Source organism: Homo sapiens, chromosome 5 (genome assembly GCF_000001405.40).
Source record: "Homo sapiens chromosome 5, GRCh38.p14 Primary Assembly".
Taxonomy (NCBI): domain Eukaryota; kingdom Metazoa; phylum Chordata; class Mammalia; order Primates; family Hominidae; genus Homo; species Homo sapiens.
This window is the reverse complement of record NC_000005.10, coordinates 36,691,941-36,712,242: the sequence shown is the minus strand read 5'-3', so window position 1 is coordinate 36,712,242 and position 20,302 is coordinate 36,691,941. Positions and strand designations below refer to the sequence as shown.

General features: G+C 43.2%; 1 long non-coding RNA gene across 2 annotated transcripts in view, besides 1 other annotated feature; it reads left to right on the top strand.

Moving 5' to 3' along the window:
• Positions 1-20,302, top strand: part of SLC1A3-AS1 (SLC1A3 antisense RNA 1) — a 59,294-nt gene that overhangs the window by 12,946 nt on the left and 26,046 nt on the right. Inside the window, exons 2-3 of one of the 2 annotated variants that reach the window (XR_001742638.2) lie at positions 6,392-6,563; positions 9,279-11,362. The exons of the other annotated variant lie outside the window; for it this stretch is intronic. This is a non-coding gene — a long non-coding RNA (SLC1A3 antisense RNA 1). Of the gene's footprint in view, positions 1-6,391; positions 6,564-9,278; positions 11,363-20,302 lie in introns of those variants that run through there. 2 annotated transcript variants of the gene reach the window in all.
• Positions 15,822-16,116: a silencer, noted in NCBI's record as "tiled region #9536; HepG2 Repressive non-DNase unmatched - State 13:Ctcf, and K562 Repressive non-DNase unmatched - State 12:CtcfO". NCBI's record gives its function as "represses a minimal TATA promoter and a strong SV40 promoter by Sharpr-MPRA in HepG2 and K562 cells {active_cell/tissue: HepG2 | K562}" and the evidence as "EXISTENCE:reporter gene assay evidence [ECO:0000049][PMID:27701403]".

The window sequence follows — 20,302 nt, the reverse complement described above, 5'->3', positions numbered from 1 at the left end:
GGCTGATGCATTCTATCGTCACATGCAGTTTGATCCTGTGGGCTGATGATGAAAGATGGTCTGAACTCACAGCATCACTAGGTCACTTACATGAAAGTTTGGGTATTGATTGGGAAGGGGTGAGACCCTAAGGAGTGAAATGGAGCCATTTGGGCGAGTTCAACTGAACCTGAGTATACAAGTCCTCCGAATTCCATCAAACTTCCCTTGTCAGTAGACACATCTTCTCCTCCTCTGCGTGATGAGGCTGGTCTGTCCTTCCTTAGAGACTCTGGAATGGTCTTGCTGAAGTGGTTTCCATGCAAGGGGCTGCAAGATTTCTTCCTGTTCTCATCTCCCACCATTCATTGCTCTAGACCTATAATTAGAGTCAAACCCCAGCACACTCCGAAAGGACAATGCCTATCTTAAGAAGCAAAAGTTTACACACTCAAAGAACTGCAAGATTTTGCCCATTTTATATCAGCAAAAACCTGGGGAATAGGTGTGGGAGTGGATTAGAAGAATCTAGGCCACAGAGGAAGACGCAAACTTTCAAATCTGGCTTGATTTATTGGTATAAGTTCATTGTTCTCGTTGATAAAGATGGGAATGGTTGTAACTTGGTCTGTCTGATTGACTGGAAACAGGACCCCAAGGTGGCATACTTGCAAGGAAATTGAGGTGTCAGAAATTCATGATATAGCATAGGGGAAGAGATCCAAACATTTAGGAGGAAGAACTATTGGAATGGATATTTTGTGTATGACCCAGTCACTTGCCAAGGATGCTCTTTTCACCAAGGCATTGAGAACACAATTGTGAGAAACAAATTCTTGAAAAGTATTGCAGTGAAGTCCTCTGTAGGCCAGGAGTGAAGGTAGAAAATGCTGCTATTGAAATGGGCATTTTGATATTAAAGGGTGTGTTGAGATGCTGGAGTGGCAGAGGCCAAGTAGAAATTCTTGAATGCCAGAAGCAGGGTGGAAACAGCTACTGGCAACAGGATGGGAGTGGCAAGCTGACCTTTGTTATAAGTTAATTGGTCATTGAGTTTCTAGGAATGAGTAGATGGCCAGTCTATCAGGATCAATTTAATAAAAAATACTGTAGATCTGGAAAACATAGGCCCAACTTCACCCAATTTCTAGACTAAGGAGTTTATAAACCTAGGGCCATTGAATGAAGAGGAAGCCAGGATCCTGAGATCCTACTAAGAGAATGTACTGTAAATCTTCCTCCTAACCTTTCTCAAAGAAACTTGTAGCAATTTAACAACTCAACTGTGCATTGGGAAAAGGGAAAAACCGAGACTTTTGAGGGCTTATTGAATTCTAATTTTTATTAACATTAATCCCCTGAGACCAAACATATCACTGTGGTTCTCTAGAGGTTACGAGTAGAATTCTTGTCTGATTTTATCTCTCAGTGATGTGATCCTAGAGGGTTTGTGAAGTCATCTTGTGATTATTTTCTCAACTCCTGAATGCACAGTTGGAGTACACATTTCAGCACCTGGAGAATGGTTTTGGGGAGTAAAGGTTACTAACTGTCAAGGGTCCAGTGGAAGCTGCAACTACCTCACCTATCAAAATGGTAACACCACCCCTTCCTAGAAAAAATACAACAACCTCAAGGAAATAACAGAAAGGCAGGGATGACGATTCTTCTCGTATCTGTATTAAACTCACGTATTTGGTCCTTACAGAAAAACTATGGGTCTTGGAGATTGACAGTAGATTACTGTAAACTTTCTCAGACAGTGACTCCAATTTTGCTGTTTCACATGTCAGATTAATATATAGTTTCTGGAACCTGGTATGGAGCCATAAATTTGGCAAATACTATTTTTCCTGTTCTAGTTAGTACAGATACGAGAATCAGTTGTCTTTTACTTCACAGAGATGTAGTGCATTATCCCTATCTTATCTCTGAGCTGTGTCAGCTGTCAGGTTCTCAGTCACATTTTTAGTTTGCAGGGACATTGACCATCACGCCATGCTATAGAACATCATGCTGGTTCACTACATTAATGACATCATTCTATTTGGCCTGGTGAAAGAAGCAGCATGTGCTCTTGGTAAGATGCATACATGACAGAGGATATTTAAAAAATCATAGGAACATAAGGACCCATCACCTCAGTAAAGCTGATAGAGGGCCAGTGGCCTGGAGCATTTTGGGATACCCCATCCAAAGTGAAAGACTAGGGTGAAACCCCGTCTCTACTAAAAATACAAAAATTAGCTGGGCATGGTGGTGCGCACGTGTAGTCCCAGCTACTTGGGAGTCTGAGGCAGAAGAATTGCAGTAAACCGAGATTGCACCACTGCACTCCAGCCTGGTGACAGAGCGAGACTCCCCCACCCGCCAAAAAAAAAAAAAAAAAAAACTAGTTCCTGCACCTTCCACTGTGAAAGAGGCACAAGCTTGGCAGATCTCTTTTGGCTTTTGGAGACATACCACATTTGGATGTGCTGCTTGGACCCATTTACTGAGCTACCTGTATGGCTACCAACTTGGAGTAGGGCCCAGAGTATTAAAAGGCTTTTCAGATGGTCCAGACTGCAGAGCAAGCAGTGCTACCACTTGGCCCTAATAACCCAGCTGATCTAATAGTGGCTGAAGTGTCTGTATCAGATGAGGATGGTGCATGGAACCTGTGGCAAGCCCCTCTAGGAGAATTACAGTGTGGTTCCTTGGGGTTGTGGAGCAAAGCTATGCCCTATTTGTCAGTTGACTATTCTCCCTTTGAGAAACAGTCCTGGTTTCCTTTTCATGAGCTGGGTGTTAGTTGATTAACTATGCTATAAGAATAGTCTTCTCATTCTTCATTTTTCACTGTTACATGGTCTTGAAGACACAGTGTATTGTCTGAGCCGGGAGGGGAGGCTCACGCTGTTAGGGCATCACCTGCTGCATCACCCTCTCCCTTAATCAACAACTATAGATTCCTCGGAGGGCCCAATGAATAAGTTATCTGAAAAAGAAAAAAAAATCGATCCTGGTTTGTGGATGCACCTGCGTGACATTCTTGTGTCAGTTGGAAGTCAACTGATGTAGCATTATAGCACCACTCAGTGGTGATCTTGAAGTGGGGGAAAGAAAACCTCTCAATGGGTAGAACTTGTCAATGTTGCTTGAACATAAAGATGTTCAGAGGTCCAGGTCAACACAGATTCATTGGTAATGGCTAATGGGCACTGGATTAGCTGGTAATCAGAAATTTGGAAGGCAAAAGATTGGAATATTGGTGTCAAGAAAGAGTGCAGAAGTCGTATGTGACTAGAACTTACAGGATGGGCACAGAATATAAGGATATGCATGACCTATATGTTTGTTCACAATAACCATGTATTGATGAGAAATTGCTGAAAAGTAAATTGGACACATTGACCCGTTTTGTGAATGTCTGTAAGCCTCTTTCCCCAGTCTGATGGGTTGTTTCCTCACAATTAGATTCAGGGGATGCACTTTTGGCAGGAATACCACCCAACCAATGTTGTGTTTTTCTCAATGGAAAACATCAGGATGCACATGATGCCAGTTTGTCTCATTGGATTGGAATTTGAGATTGCCATTGAACATTTTGGAGAAATTGTGTTGATGAACCAACAGGCAAAAGAGGGGTCACTACTCTGTCAGCAGGGTGATTAATCCCAATTATCAAGGGGAAATAGGATTGCTGTTATATAACAGGACTAAGAAAGAGTATTTTTGGAACCCAAGGGATCTTGTGGGGCACCTCAAAGTAATGTCATGCCCACTGGTAAAAGTTACCTTATATTAGCATTATATATTTAATTTACATATTTAATATTAACTTTTAATGGAAGACTACTGAAATCTGGTATAATCAGGATTACCAGGGGCTCAGAGCCACTAGGAATCAAGATTTGGGTGACTCCACCAGATAAGTAGCCTGGCCCAGCTATGGGGCTGACTGAGACAAAAGTAACTTATAACGGGTTGTGGAGGAAAAAAATTATAAGTGCCAACTACAGCCTTGTGACAGTAACTAGAACTATCATAAACATCAATATTTTCTTCCTTTCTCTGTTATGTATATTTTTAGTATATTGACCATTTTCCTCTTCTCCTTTCCCTCATCCTCACAATTTTATAAATGGCCTACTGATGTTGGTTAACTTTATGAGATTATATCTTACAGAATATCATATAAATGGGATTTATGGTGGGGTTGTGACTGAGCTAGAGAAGAAATGAGTATCACCCAAAGATAGATGCAGAGACTTAGAGGACTTTGGGTCTCTCCTTTTGAAGGGAAGTGAGTGCTTTTTTTTTTTTTTTTTTGGTACAAGGGACAGTTAGGAACTTTGAATACAGGCAGAAAGTAAGCATGTATGTTGAAAAGCCAGAGGAACAGTCTATGGAATTTATTGTGGATTGGTGCTCAATATCCACTCAAGCTTTCTTCTAGAGAATTTTCTTCAACTACAAAAGTTAGAGAGTAAAAAAAAATTATTTTTCCCAGACTCTCTTGCAGCTAAGGTTTTGAATGCCATTTAAGTTGAGCCAGTTAAACATATTTTTACAAGATCTGGACAGCAGAAGTGAGGTGGAAGCTGTACTTTTGCTGCTCTGGCTTTTTTTTTCTGGAAAGCACAGTCATGGAGGGATTTTTTTTTCAGCATTAACGTAGATACCAGTGTCTGATAACTGAGTTGATGAGCGCTAAGAAGCTCGCCATGGGCATTCCTTCTGCTAGTGTGTGTCACGGCAGGCAGGTGTGACTTTCTGACATGGCAGCTTTTGCATTGTTGCAGCTTCCCCATCGTAGTGGGGGTAGTATGATTCCAGAGCCAGCTGCTTCCTGATCACACCACACAAGAGGTAGAAGCTCCAAGGTAACCATTTATACCTTGTGGCTTTTGTTCCTGAAAGCATGGCTTGGAGGCTATTTCTTTAACTCTCTCAATGATTCAGTAAGCCATTTAGTATCCTATAATAAATATTTTTCTTGCTTAAACAAGCTACAGTGGATTCAGTTCTTTGCAAGTAAACTCTGATCAATGTAGAGCTTTAGGGACCCAATGTCCTGTGCCAACATTTTATATGAGAAACAAACAAGATTCAAGTACGGTTTCTCCACTGTCGATCATGGTTATGCCCTCATTGTTATGGAAAGAAATCTGTCAACAATTATATGTCAGTTTATATCTTTTATTGTTCTTTCATCAGCCTTTGATAGGAAACAGTTATGGCCTGAAGAGCATGAGACTAAAAACTGTCGAGACACTGAGGAGTTAATGACAGTGCTCAAACTCACCTGCACGTTACAATTGTCAGGGGAGCTTTTAAAATTCCGAATTTTGGGGCAGTCTCCAGAACAATTAAGCCAGACTTTCTGGATCTGGGCCCCAGGATTCAGTGTTTTGAAAGATTCCCAAGGAATTCCAATGTGCAGCCAAGGTTGGAGAACCACTGCCATCTGGGAAGAGAGAGGTGAACTCTCCGGTTATGTATGAGTTGCAGTTTGGGAGAAATAGCATACTAGTAAGGTAGTAATTTACTATTTTACAGTGAGAAATTAGAAATTGAGCTAAAATCAGCACTGTGTTGGCAGAGCTGAGTTCCTTTCTGGAGACTCTACGGGAGAATCTGTTTTCTTGCCTTTTCTGATTTCTAGAGGCTCCCTGCCATCATCAAAGCCAGCAAAGGCTAGTTGAGTCTTTCTGGCAATGCCATCTCTCTGGTTCTGACTTTCCTGCCTCCTTCTTCCACTTTTAAGGACCCTGTCATTACATTAGGCCCACTGAGAAAACCCCAGATAATGTCCCATTTCAAAATCAGTTGATTAACGACTTAATTTCACTTGCACCTTGAATTCCCTCTGGCCATGTAACCTAACATACGCATATGTTCCAGGGGTTAGGATGTGGATATGTTTGGGGGGCCATTATTCTACTTATCCTGAGATAATGAAGGACAAGGACACTGGGGAAGAGGTACCCTAGTGGATTCCTCCCACACAGTTTTTTAATCAGAAGAGGCAATTGGAAGGTTCATAGCACTCAAAAATCATTATGCTATTAATTCAGATGTGATAGGAATCCTGGTAAATTCATAGTTCTGTAAGAAGTAGGGTTATCCAAGCCAGAATAGATTGCTAAGAAATTGGATAAATTTGTGATTTGTGCCTTGCCACGGTCACCTATTTGCAAAGTCATATTTTAATGATTAGAAACTTCTTTGCAGTCACCCGGATGCCTGGTTACAGATGATGGGAGAATGCAAACCTGCAAACCTTCCAGTTTGCTGATCTGTAGCCTCATGGCAGGGACCAGGAGGGGCCTACAGCACATAGGTGGTCCTGCTAGCTAATTGTTTTTCTTTTTTAAAGAGTGATTCAATATTAACCATCTTAAATTGAAAATTATTCTTTTGGCAGATGTCCTCCAAAATGGATTGCCTCATATCTAGTACCCGCCTGCTGCAGGCTTCTTCATCTAGTTCCTCTGGGGACACACTGTGCAGCTAATTCATCCAGGCAGATTCACTGGGAAGCTGTTGCTCATGAGGGTATTTCTGAGACTTTTTTTTGTGACCTTGCTGTATGACTGGTAAGACGCGACTTAGTATTTTCCATGCCAAGAATATCAGAGCCATGACCCATGGTATAGAATGCTGCAAGCTTAGCCTTCATTTGTTGCCATGCTAGAGCAGACTCTGTTTCTCCAGGAAATTCCTGGTTTTGCTCATGGGAGACCCTGCAGATGCTCACTTTGCCACTCGCTGATCTGATCTCAAGAGCATCTGGATCTGCCTTAACCAGCATCTCAGGCTCCCTACGCACTGAGTTCTTGACTGGAAACTAGTAATCTGTATTTCCCTGGGGCCACACTAAAGGGGGATGAGGGGCGGAGTTAAGTTGCAATAACAAGACCAAAGTTGGGTATCTCTGGCTCACTGGCTGTCTCTGTCTAGACTCTCAGGCTTTTCGACCTCCCCTCTGTGTGCTCCACCCTGCAGTCTTCCTGATGATTCCAGAGGCTCCTGCTGTTTCCTTCTCTCCAATCCCCAGGTTGGCCTCCTGGGCCCTGGCTCCCAGGTTGCTGCTCAGGCTGCCTGGATACTTCTCTCTCCTGCTAAATTTCAGTCACAGTGGGCTTTTCTCAGTCTCAACTTTCTATTTTTATTTATTTTGCCCCTGTTGCTGCTGATTCTTTATTCTAACTTACAATAGTATTGCATGTGTTCTTGTTGAAAAGCTCTTCAAATTCTCCATGGACCAATACAGGACACAAATAAGCAAACAAGAATATTAATGTTGATGTCCCTCTCTCCAGCAAAAGATTGGTGATGAGCGTCATCAATTTATTTTAATACAGCACATTGAAAGGGCAGGCGTGGTGGTGCAGATTTCACTCATTTCACTATGGCAATCGAGGGAGGTCTTGGTTGCTGACCAGGAAAGGAAAGCTATACCCAATCAGGCACACTTTCCAGATATTCCAGATAGGTAAATGGTCCATGAAACCATAAAACCAGAAATGAATCTCAGGGATGAAGAGTGGAAAAAAATCATCACCTGGGTCTTTCCTTTTTGTAAAGAAAAGAAAATCAATAGAGCTAACTGCATTTCCGCAGTTGGAAAATGTTTTCTGACATAAATAAAAAGTATAACAATTTTAGGTCAATTGGAGGCATTAACAATCAGATAAAATGGTCATTTTGGATTATGCATCCAGGGTAGAAGTGATCCTGCTGGAAACTTGTGACACTTGTCTGTCTGATTGTTGGTCTCTCTTTTTCTTCTTCTCTTTCTCTCCCTCCTCACCTCTTACTGTGCATTCTTTCCCATATCTTTTCCTCCCTTTGCCTACTACTGGGTGGAGTTTCCATGTGGGCCCCACTGTTGTGCTAAGAATAGCACTAGCTGCTATTTATCAAGGCTTTACCACTTGCCAGGCACTGTGCAGAGCACCCTAGATACATTACCTCACTTATTCTGCCCAACAGCCCTCCAGGAGGATGGGCATATTTGTGTAATGAACCCGGTCTGACATGGTGTTTAATTGCTTTATTATGTTCTTTGTCAGCACTCCAAATAATAAAGTTTGTTGGTATTCTCAACTTTTTCATGCTTGACTTAAAATATATTGTAAATATTATGTTGGCCACTTGAACTAGCAGGCAGATTATGGGGAATTGGAGTTATGCTTTATTATTATTATTATTATTATTATTTATCCTTTCCCTGAGCAGTAATTACTGGCGGTAATGAAAGTTCTGGGAGCTGTTGTTTCATATTGAAATTTAACTGCTTCCTTCCCCAAAGTAAAATAGATACTGGTGAGATGGAGCCAGGATGAGTAAGGGCATAAGATGTAGGAAGGTGTTAAGTTTTGAACTCAACTTCTCCTTATTGGCTCAATATTAAGCTTCATTTTCAATGCATAATTACATGAGAAAATGAAAGTGCCAAGTCTCTACACTGTACATTCCCCAGGCAAGAACTTCCAGGTTGTCTGTGGAAAATCCAGCCTTTTCAGTGGGAAATCAGGAGAGGAAGGTTGGTCAGTGGAGGCTGGGGTTTCTGTTTTGGTTTTTTCTTCCTCCTGGAGTGTACATTACCTCTACTTTGCTCACCGTCCTAGTGAACTCACCTGTGTACAGAGTTCTCCAGAGTTCTTCTGCTTCCCAGGTAAAGCCCTGAAGATTGCTTTCAAAGTCAGAATCTTTGGGGCTCCTGGGACTGGCACATGGTCCACCGCCAGGCAGCCCAGTTTCCACATGGGGGCACGGAGCCAACTGGAGCGCACTGAGGGAGCACAGCCTTGCATCAGATGCTAATGATCTTTCATCACGTGCTCTGACAATGAGGCTAGAACAACCATAGTTGAAACTGATGCAACAGGATGGAAGGGGCTGGGAGCACTGGGAGTTAAGTTACCCTTGTGAAAGGGAAGACAGAAAGGAAGGTTAAAAACAATATCTTGAGGCACTGAATTTAAATTACCAGCTGCATATTTACCTGAGAACATCCCACTTTTTTCAGATGACCTTAAAGGGAGTATAATTAAGTAGAGGAAAGTGGTGAGGGATGTTAGAGATTCATCAGAATATTAACTTTTCCCAGTTGTAGTAACATGAACATGATCTCGACAGCAGTTTTGTTATTATTATTGTCATTAATTTTTGAAGGAAGGCTTCACTGTTTTTTCAAAAAACAAAACAAATTACTGGAGTGGGCTGAATAATAGCCCCTGAAGATACCAGATTCAAATCTCTGGAACCTGTAAATGTTATGACATACTGAAAAAGTGTCATTGCAGGTGTAATGAAGAATCTCCAGGTGGAGAAATGATCCTGAATTATCCAGTGGGCCCTACATGTCACCACATTGCGATCCTTCTAAGTAGGAAGCAGAAGATCTGACACATGCAGGAGAGGGGAAGGCAATGTGACCATGGAGGCAGAGAGGGGAGTGATGTGGCCACAAACCAAGGATTGTTGGCAGCTGCCAGTGGCCGAAGGGGCAATGAATGGATTCTCCTTTGGAGCCTCTGGAGGGAGAATGGCCCTGCTAACACCTTGATTTTGGCCCAGTGATACTGATTTTGGACTTCTGCCCTCTAGAACTGTGAGGGAATACTTTTCTGTTGCTTTAAGCCATTGAATTTATGATGATTTGTTACAGCACCCACAGGAAACAAATGCATGGATCTAACTTGAACCTAGTGAGTTAGATTACTTCAGGGAAACACAATAAATAGTTAACAGGGCTTGTCAGGGGGGTGGGAGTGAGATGAAAGTGTGAAGGCAACTTCTATGGTTTACTTTTATATTTCCCTATTTTTCAAATCTTTTGCAAGAAAATGAATTCATATACTATTTTAAAAAACATATAAAATATGAGCAAAAAGATTTATTGTATCTCTTTAAAATAATTTAGAACAAGTAATGGCTGCAGAACCTTAAAGGGTTTTTCTAGCATGTTTCCAAGATACAGTCTTGATTATTTGAGATTGACATGAAGATGGCCCAGACTGTGCCACAACACAGCACTTGACACCAAATGTTAGACTGTAATGGGCCGTGTGAGTATTACTCAGTGTGGCCATTTCATTATCAAATATCTATTTATTTCAGATTTCAAACACGAATACAAGCTTCTCCTTTCTTTCCTTCCTTTCTCTTTTTCTCCTTTCTACAGCAAGTTCAGGAATGTGCTAGGTATGACCTGGGATAGAAAGAGCATATACTCAGCTTTTGCCTTCAAGAAAATTGGATATTGGCTTGGGAGATAAGATAAATGAAAAGGAAGCAGATGATCTGTTATAGAAGAGATAACACTGTAAGCCCAAATGTATGTGATTAAGTTCTAAAAGTGTAAACCAATAGGGAGTGCTGTGAGGTGTCACCACGGGCGCAGATTGCAGCAGATCTGACCATACAAGTGTAAATAAAACCCTATTGAATGCCCCCTCTCCCTCCCCAATTGTTCTGAGTGGTTGCTTCAAGATTTCTTCTCATCGTTCTCAAATTGTTACTGTGAGATTAACTGGCAAACATTTCTCCTTAACATAAGAAGTGTGAATGGAATCCTACCAAGTGATTTTGCCAATAGTTCCTATTCCTGCTGCAAACAGTGGTGTGCTCAGGCTTAAGCTGTAACATGTCCACACTCACCTGTCACTTGGGAATGCCTCTGTTGGAATGCAACATGCCCACTTATCACACAGCCGGCATGAGAGGCAGAGTGGAGTTTAACCAAGCATTCTGCCCCCAAAGTCTGCAGATGTAGCCAGTGCCTTCAGAAAAGGGAAGGGAAACTAACCCTGTTGAGTATCTACTATGTGCTAGGCATTCTGTTAAGCACTTTTACACACATCATTTAATCCTCGTGACAGTATTTAGAAATAGCTATCATTTCCCAGTTCTGTAGATGAGGAAGAAAAGGTAGGCTCAGAGAGGGTAGGTAAGTTGTCTAAGGTCACATAGCTGGTACATAGTAGTAGAGCTAGGGTGCAAACCCAAGATTTTCTGAGTCCAAAGCACATGCCTATTCCATCATTTCGGTAATAAGAATAAATGTCTTTCAAATGTAGTGGTGAGAGATGAATAAAAAGCCGTCCTTGGTGATCCTGGGGAGTCTACACCCTCTGCCTGCCTGGCTCCACATCAAGCTTGTGTTTGCCAGCACTTACACCCCTGCATTTCCCTCCAATCCCTGTCATCTCCCTTGTGGAGTCCTCTCCTCCTCTCCTACCCGTTGGTCCCCTTTTTCACCCATCCTTCAGCCATTTAATGATCTCATCTTTAATTCCTGTTTATAACTCCATGAGCTCCTCGATCACTGTCTCCTGAGATGTCCTTTTTGTCACTGGAACTTGTATTAAAGTGGTTTTGTAATGGGTATTTCTGTTTCTTTTGTCCTACTCTGAATTTCCTGAGGGCAGGGACTACATCTCTTTTATTCTTCTATGTTTCCCTCAGGTTCTGTGGTTATGCATTGGCAATTAGCAATTCTTTCTTTTTTTTTTTTTTTATATGGGATCTCACTGTATTGCCCAGGCTGGTGTGCCTTGGCACAATCTTGGCTCACTGCAGCCTCCACCTCTTGGGTTCAAGTGATCCTCACCACTCAGTCTCTTGAGTAGCTGCTGGGACTACAGGCACGTGCTACCATGCCTGGCTAATTTTTTGTATTTTTTGGTAGAGACAGGGTTTCATCATGTTGGCCAGGCTATTCAAACTCCTGGGCTCCAGTGATCGGCCTGCCTCGGCTCCCAAAATGCTGGGATTACAGGCATGAACCACCATGCCTGGGCTAGCAATTATTTCTTGACTTGAATTGCTTCCTGGTTGCTCACAGAAGTCTGCTGCAACCTCTTCTCCCCAGCTTATTCCTTTTGTGCCACTTCACTCCCAATTCCCACCCTTCACTATCCATGACTCTGTCCTGAGCTCAGAGATAACTCAGTGAATAAAACCTTCCACCATGATGGCAATGTTCTGTATTCACGCTGTCCAACGTGGTAGCCACTAGCCACATGTGGATTTTGAGCCCTTGAAACATGGCTAGTGTGACTGAAGAACCGACTTTTTAGTTGCATGTTAAATATAATCAACCAATTAATTTAAGTAATTTATTTAAATAATATAGGTAAATTAATTTACATTTTAATAGCTCCTGCCATATTGGATCACATAGCTGTCCAAACATGGAAAAAACAAGCTCCTCCATCTGAAGCCCAAACTTGAGTACAGGCTTTTGCAAAATTCTGCAGAAGTATATTCTTAAGTTTACAGAAATGAAGTCTGATGGAAAGCTGTACAATTCATTTCCAAGCGTGTCGTGGCTCCCGTTTGTTCTCAAGTTCTCTTGAGCAAGTCATCATGCAGTCAGTCTGTGGACTCACGTGTAGACACCACCTGTTGTCTATAGGGTGGCAGCTCCATTAAAATAACATTCACATCTATAGGGGAACATGGGGGAGATGCCTAAGTGGTCTGTTATGGAATTGCCCTAAAATCCCTCCAAAGACATTGAGATGCTAACTAGAAAAAATTGCTTCTTTTTTCCCCCTCTTCATTTCTGTCAAATTTAATTTTCTTGTTTTCTTTTCCTGAAACTCTAGTAGCTGTCAAGAATGTATTGCTGGAAGCCAAATCTGTCATTTTGTCTTCGGCAGTTGAAGAACTTTCATTTTTCTTTCTAGGAGTAATGCATTTCTACTTAGAGAACAGCTAAGTGAAAATGTACTCCTGAAACAAGATTTTTTCTGCAGGCTTCCTTGAATTTGTCAAAAAGACAAAAATCTTACCAGCTTCACTTTGTAATAATGCCCCAAAGTTACTTGGAATCATCTTCCACCTACTTTTCTTGTCTCTATTATTTAATATGTGTAGTAGGGAAGAAGAAAATGAACACATTTACAATTTAAGGTTCTGCTTATACATGTATTGTCAAAGCTAATTGTTTTAAACAAGGTGTTTTATCTTTGATTAAAGTGATCAATGCCTATAAGTATAAAAGAAATGATAGTAGAGTTTCATGGTCTCTTTCATAACACAGTCCCATACTTAACACTTTGATGTGCTGACACTGATAATGAAGATACAAGGCCTGACTTAAGCAATAGTTAGCCTTCAAAATAGAAAGGTGAATGGTACATTCATTTCTGAAATTCCTGAGGTTTTTCCTTGCTCTACTCAGTTAGACAGAGAAGCATTAAAAAAAAAAAAAATCCCCATTGCAGAGAAGGAAACTGAGACCACCAGTCAATCAAAGGGAGGATTTTTACTTTCCCAAAACAACTGGGTATCAGCAATGTCAAATATTCAACATAACTTGTAAGCCCTCCTAGCACTACCTTCAAAGCACATAAGGCATCTCTTCAGGTCAGCCATTTGCTCCTGACACAGACCTGATGTCTACTGCTTGTGTAATTGATGTTAACAATGGATACTGAGAATTCCCCAAGAGAATTTTACTGTTTTCATTAAGTTGGTCAAGTAGAAAAGGTGAATACTATTGTCATCCCTGCCCTAACAATGTGATTAACATTTTATCTCTCTGAGTTCCTCTCCCCTCCTTACCCTTTATCCCTATCAGGGGCAGACTCATATCATGATAATGTCATTGCTACACAGCTCAAGTTCACTGTCACCCAAGAGGGTCTCCTGGAGCTTACACATGACAGGCAATGGTATTAGAGGTGAAATATACAGAAGCAATGGCATTAGAAATATACAGAATGTATAAATAAATATGCAGAAGCATTGGCATTAGAGATGAAATGTAAACTTTCCATAAACATTGTGAATGCCCGATTCAAGGAAAGTATGTTCTGTCCGAATCGGAAACACCTTTTAGCTACAGTGGTTCTGAGGAAGGTACCTCTGCGAGGATGTTAAAAAAATATGTAAAGGTGTATTTTTCATTGTCACAGCAACAAGGATGAAAAGGTGGAAAATGGGAAAGGGTGATGGGGATGGTAGAGGGGTGGGGACCTACCAGCATCTGGTGTCCAGGACTCAGGGATGTCAAATGCCTGCAATTCTCAGGGCATTCCCACCTTATGAATTGTCTCACCAAAAATGTCAGTAACACCTGTACTGGGAAAGAATGGAAGGGGAAGTGCGCAGCACTCAAATAGTTGCTAACAATGGTCATTTGAAATTCACCATTTTACATACATATATATATACAATTTAAATTTATATATATATATACTTAAATTTATTTTTTTACTCTGTGCCAGGCACTGGGGTACAATGGTTTTTTAAAAAACCCACTTTTTGCCCTAAAGAAGCATATAGTTGGTGGGAGACAGACCACATTCTGCCATGATATCAGTAACCTGGGAGGCCAAGGGGAACAAAGAGGGGTCTGGAAAGGCTTCCTGAAACACCTGCTGCCTCCACTGAAGTAGGAGTTGGAGTCAACAAGGAGGTGGGCCGAGTGGTTTGGGGTGCGAGGGGACAGTTGGGGTAGGGAGGTGATGTTTCCAGATGAGGACCAGCATGTGTAACTAAGGCCTGGAGTTATGAGAGCACAGTGCCATGGGGGGCAAGTTTGTTCTGTGGCTATTTCCTTCCAACAGAGGCGAGGACTGCAAATCAGGATGGAGAGGGAAGCAGGGGTTCAGTAATCAGAGACCCTGACACTCCGTGCAGGAATTTATACTTTATCCTGGAGCCATGAGAAGCCACTGCAGAGTTTAAATTAAGGGAATGACAAGAACCCATGTCAGGGATGGCACATTGAATTGAGAGCTCTCTTAGTGTCAGTATTATTGTCCCTTGCCTTTAGACACTGGGCAGGAAATCTGCTGAGAGTCACCTGAGAGTCATTGAGGCCTTTCTATTGACCTCTCCTTGAAGCTGCGCTACTGTGCAGCCACAAAGGCAGGACTGGCCTCACCAGCGTAGCCAGATCACTATCACTGTCATCAACCATCTGGCAAGGAAGTGCCTTCTACCAGCAGAGACTGCTCTGCCTTCGAGATCACAGGCTCATTGGGAGGCTGGAACTACATAACTCCAGCATCCCCTCCAGGAGAAGGATGGTTAAGGCCAAAGACTACAGAATCCAACTATCCAAGTTGGAATTCCAATTTCACCATTTGTTGACTTCGTGACCTCGGGCGGATCATTTAACCTCAGTTTTTTTCATCTGTAGAATGAAGATAATGATAATAATGATCTCATAGGTTTTTGTAAAGATTAGATGAGATAATATATATAAGAACCCAGCACTTAATAATCACTCAATAAGCATTAGCTATTATTACAACAGAAGGCAAAGAGTCAAATTCAGCTCAAAAGTTAAGAGTGTGCCTTCTGGAGCTACAGTGTTGGGTTTAAAAATTTAGTCCCAAGACTTGTGGCCTTGGGCAACCTGCTTAAACTCACCCCACCTCATTTTCTTCATCAGTGAAACAGAGGGAAGATGATAGTCTTGACTTCAGAGGGCTGACATAGCTCGATTTTAACAGTGTACATCTCAGAACAACACCTGGCTCATAGTAGGCACTCCATAAATATTAGCTATTATTTCAATGGAGTAAGCCAGACAAAAAATGATAGAAAGGAAGTGGGACTCAAGACTTTGAAGGAATAGAGCGTGCCTTAAATAAAATGACAGAAGGAAGAAGGGAATCAACATTTGGATGCTTAATAGGTATGTGGAACTTAACATCAAAGAAGTTGTTTTGAGAGTTAAATAAGATACCCCAATGCCCAATGTAGATTGTTTTCTTATCCCAATTTTGCAGCTGAGTCTTACAGAGTTTAGATAGTTTACCTGGGATCACGTGTTAGGCTGTGGACCCTGGCTGCATCCGACTCTAAATCCTTGATCTTTCTCTCCAGCTTGCTGAGTCCAGCTGCATGGAGAAGGTAGGTGGTCCAGGAGAGGAGGGGGACGAGGAATCAATTCTGCTGGAGTCGTCGGGGTTGGTGCCTGGTTCCCAGGTGCATACTTTTAAGTTCAAGATGCTGGGGTGCTGGCCTCTCAGTGACCACCAGATGTCAGTGCTAACAAGAGATTCCTCTACTTGGTTGTTTCCAGAGCTAGGTGCCAGGGCACGCTTATTCATTTGGCAAGCAGCACCAGCAGGTACTGTCTAAGAGAAGCTTAACTTGGTCTTGGTGCCCATCTTCACATTCATCAGTGTGGGGTGATTTTGGAAGGCTAGGTCAGAAGAACATATATTACAGAACCCAGAACTGAATTTGGAAATGTGTGGTGGTAGAACACTTGGCTCTTTAATATGAAAGTCCACAGCATCACTTCCTAAGAAACAGTTTGTATTTGGAAGATAAAAGCTCCTTGAAGGTGATCAGTTCTGGAAACAGCAAGCCAGTCAAACTCTTGAATTCAAGGGGTGGAAAAATTATTGATTGGTGATGGATTATTGATCAGAAAAAGCTTGGAACTGTGGCTTTACACTTATTAATCATGAAATGGAAGTTACTCAAGTTACAAGCCTATACACACATGCGCACAATTATAATAAAAATTTCCTGAAACAATACTTTAATACATGTGATATTTTCTGTTCTATTCTGCTCTATTCTTTCACTAAAAAATACTAATTGGGACCCTCTAAACTGACAACCTACAGTTTGAAAAACACTGGCCTAGGCCGGGTGCAGTGGCTCACGCCTCTAATCCTAGCACTTTGGGAGGCCGAGGCGGGTGGATCACGAGGTCAGGAGATCGAGACCATCCTGGCTAACACGGTGAAACCCCGTCTCTACTAAAAATACAAAAAAATTAGCCGGGCGCGGTGGCGGGCGCCTGTAGTCCCAGCTACTCGGGAGGCTGAGGCAGGAGAATGGCGTGAACCCGGGAGGCAGAGGTTGCAGTGAGCCAAGATAGTGCCACTGCACTCCAGCCTGGGCGACAGAGCAGTACTCCGTCTCAAAGAAAAAAAAAAAAAGAGAAACACTGGCCTAGGAGATATTACCACAGTATGTTTCAGATGAAGTTCTTGGTTTGCAGTGCTTGACCAGACATAATTTCCATGGTTAAAACAGTCTAAGGGGAAAAACACCTGCTTTGGATTTGGAGAGAGACTCAAATTGCGATTTTTACCTGGAGTAAGCTGCTTATTTTCTGAACCTCAACATTTTCATGTGTGAAATGAGGAGAATTCTGTCTATTCACAGGATCACTGTGAGGCACCTGCTACACAACAGCCTTCCTCCCTCCCTCCTTCCCTCCCTCCCTTTTTTCATTCCTTCCTTCCTGTCTCTCACTCTCTTTTTTAGAGACAAGGTCTCGCTTTGTGGCCCAGGTTGGAGTACAATGTCACGATCATAGCTCACTGCGGCTTCAAACTCCTTGGCTCAGGCAGTCCTCCTGCCTTGGCCTCCCGAGTTGCTGGGATTATAGGTGTGAGCCACCGTGCCCAGCCCAGGCTATATATGCCTTTCCCTTCTGTACTTGAAGGTTTTTATACTATATGTGGTAAGAGAACTTTACAATTTCACTAAAGGAGGGCATTTCTAATGTGGAAGGGGGATTAAGTTCTAAAACCAGCAACTGGGAATCTTTAAGAATAGAGTAATCCTGCTTGTGTAGTCCAGCCACATCGATGCTCAAAAGCAGCGTGCTGGATGAACTGCCTCGCAGAGGTGTGGGGAGAGGAAGATACGTCAGTTTACGGTGTTGCTTTCACTGGAATGCCTCTGTCTGACCCTCTGACCCTCTAAGCATGACTTATTTCTGGTAGGGCCCTCTTCTTGGCTTGCAGACAGCTGCCTTCTCACTGTGTCCTCACATGGCCTTTGCTTGGTGTGTGCTTGTGGAAAGAGATCTCTCTCTCTCTCCTTGTACTTGGAAAGCCACCAATCCTATTGGATTTGGACCCCATCTTTGTGACCTCATTTAACCCTAATTACCTCCTATAAGCCTCATCTCCAAATATAGTCACATTGGGGGTTAGGGCTTTGACATATGAATGTTGGTGAAGGGTGGGAGAACACAATTCAGTCCATAGCACCCTATATTACACAGATATTAAAATGTACCTCCCTGGAGGGAGGGGCTTTATCAACATTGCCCATTACAGTAGGCATCCCATAAATACCTGCTAAATAAATGAAAAGAGGAATTGTGTTTTCTCTGTACATTCTAGTGTTAATGCGGGCACATTTATGACCCCATTATAATAACACCGGAAGCAAGCACCTTTTATCAAGCACGAATATATGTCAGTGACTTCACCTTTCTTTCTGATCTAATCCTCAACAATCCTGGAAATTAGGAATGATTTTCATCATGATAGGAATCAGAGGAGGCAAGGAGAGGTTAAGAAACTTGCCCAAGGTCACACAGCTCATAGGCAAAGCCAGGATTAGCATCCTGCTCTGTCACCTCTGAGGTCTGTTTCTTTTTAGAGTCTAGACCAGTGGTTCTCAAACTTGGGTGTGCATCAGAATCCCCTGGTCAGCTTCTTAAGACAGATGGCTGGGCAGGGCAAGGTGGCATGCACCTGTAGTCCCAGCTACTTGGGAGGCTTTAGCAGGACGATCACTTGAGCCCCAGGACTTCCAGGCTGCAGTGCGCTATGATTGTGCCCGCGAATAACTACTGCACTTCAGCCAGGGCAGCACAGCAAGATCCATCTCTAAAAAACTCCCCCAAACCAAAAAACAGATTGCTGGGGTCTACCCTCTGAGTTTATGATTCAGTAGGTCTAGGGTGGTGTCTGAGAATTTGTATTTCTAAGTTCCCAGGGAATGCTGATACTGGTTGTGGGACCACACTTTGAGAATCAGTGCTGTGGCCACAGAGCATGAGTTCCTTTTTCCTTCAGCCATCGGAACTGTTTCCTGGCTCTCCAGCCTTCCTTGAGCCCCTCAGGGAGGAGTTTGCTGTAAGCGCTCCTCTTTGCACGTTGTCTGGTCCGGGCTGCTCTGGGTCATCGGGGCCTAGAGAAAGGTCTTGGCCGCAGGGTGGCAGCAGCGGCCCAGGTACAGAAAGTTTGTCCCCGCGCTCAGGACAGCTAATAAGCGCACCATCAACTGGGTTCCCACCGGGCCAGGGCCGGCTGGCTCTCCGTCCCCGCTTGGCAGGGCAGGGAGGAGGCCAGTGGGAGGGGGTCTGGCAGAAGGGGAGGTCGCTGGCACACGAAGGGGCGGTTTTGTTCTCTGGTAGACTCTGGGAGAGGAAGCTGGGTGGTCTCCTCAGAACATCGGATTGTGCCCTTCACAAAACGGCCACGCAGCGCGGGGCCGCTGGGAGAGCCCGCGGGACAAAAGGCCTCTGCGGAGGCGAGCAGGGGTTGCTGGGCCGCCCCGGGCGCAGAGGCCCGGGCCCCTCCGTGAAGAAGCCTGGCAGTGTCTCATGATGCCGGTTTCCAGGGGTGACGACCTCCGCAAAGCGTCCCCCCCGGGCAATGTAGGTCTGTGGCCTCCTCGGGGAGTTCCTTCCAGCTCACAGCAGGTCCAGATGGCACCGGGAGCCACTCTCCCTTCCTCCAGCGTCACCCCGTGCCTCTTCCTCCCTACTGAGCCAGTGTTGTTCTGAACATCTTAAGAATCTCCCTGAGTGCCAGGAACTGTGCTGAGAATCTTATATCTAGTTATTATCTATTTAATTCTCATTACACCATAATAAAGAAGGTATTATGATACCCATTTACGATAGGGAAGTTGAAGTTTAACCTATCATATGCTAAGGGCAGTTGACCATTTAACTAAGCGTTTTAACTCTAGCATCCCCTCCAATACACAGACACTTGATATGAAAGTTGATTTGGAGACGGTAGGTTTCATGCAATCCCCACATCTACAGATGAGGATGCTGAGGTGCAGGGAATGGACCAGCCAGGGTCTCTGAACTGCTTAAGAATTCAGGTATAACAAGTGTGGATTCAACCCATCCCCGTGTAGAAGTTTGAGTTCAACCACCACTCTGAAGCGGAAGGCCTTTAAGTTTTAGGAAGCGTAAAGCTATTTTTAGTCTAGCCATGTGAGTTTTCTAACATGCCTGCTGACTTTCTCATGTTTGTTTTCCACTTCTTTAGCTAACAGCTCCTCATGGGCTTAAATGAAAGAAGGCCTCACTGAGGCACTGGAGTGCCAAGGGCAGGGGAATTTGGTTATAGCATTCAGAGGTTTGTGTTGCCGACAAAAATCTTTGCGTGCTGAGTTCTCCCCAGGGCAGGCCAGTCATCAGTTCATTGTGCAGGGCTGAGCTGACTTCCAAATGGTCTTTATTTTCCCCTGTGACAGCTATGTCTGGAAGCTCCTGGCTGGCTGCTTCCAGGACTTATGATCCTCTGAAGCTAAGAGTTGGAAAAGAAATAAAAAAGTTGTCATCTGACACCATCTTCTA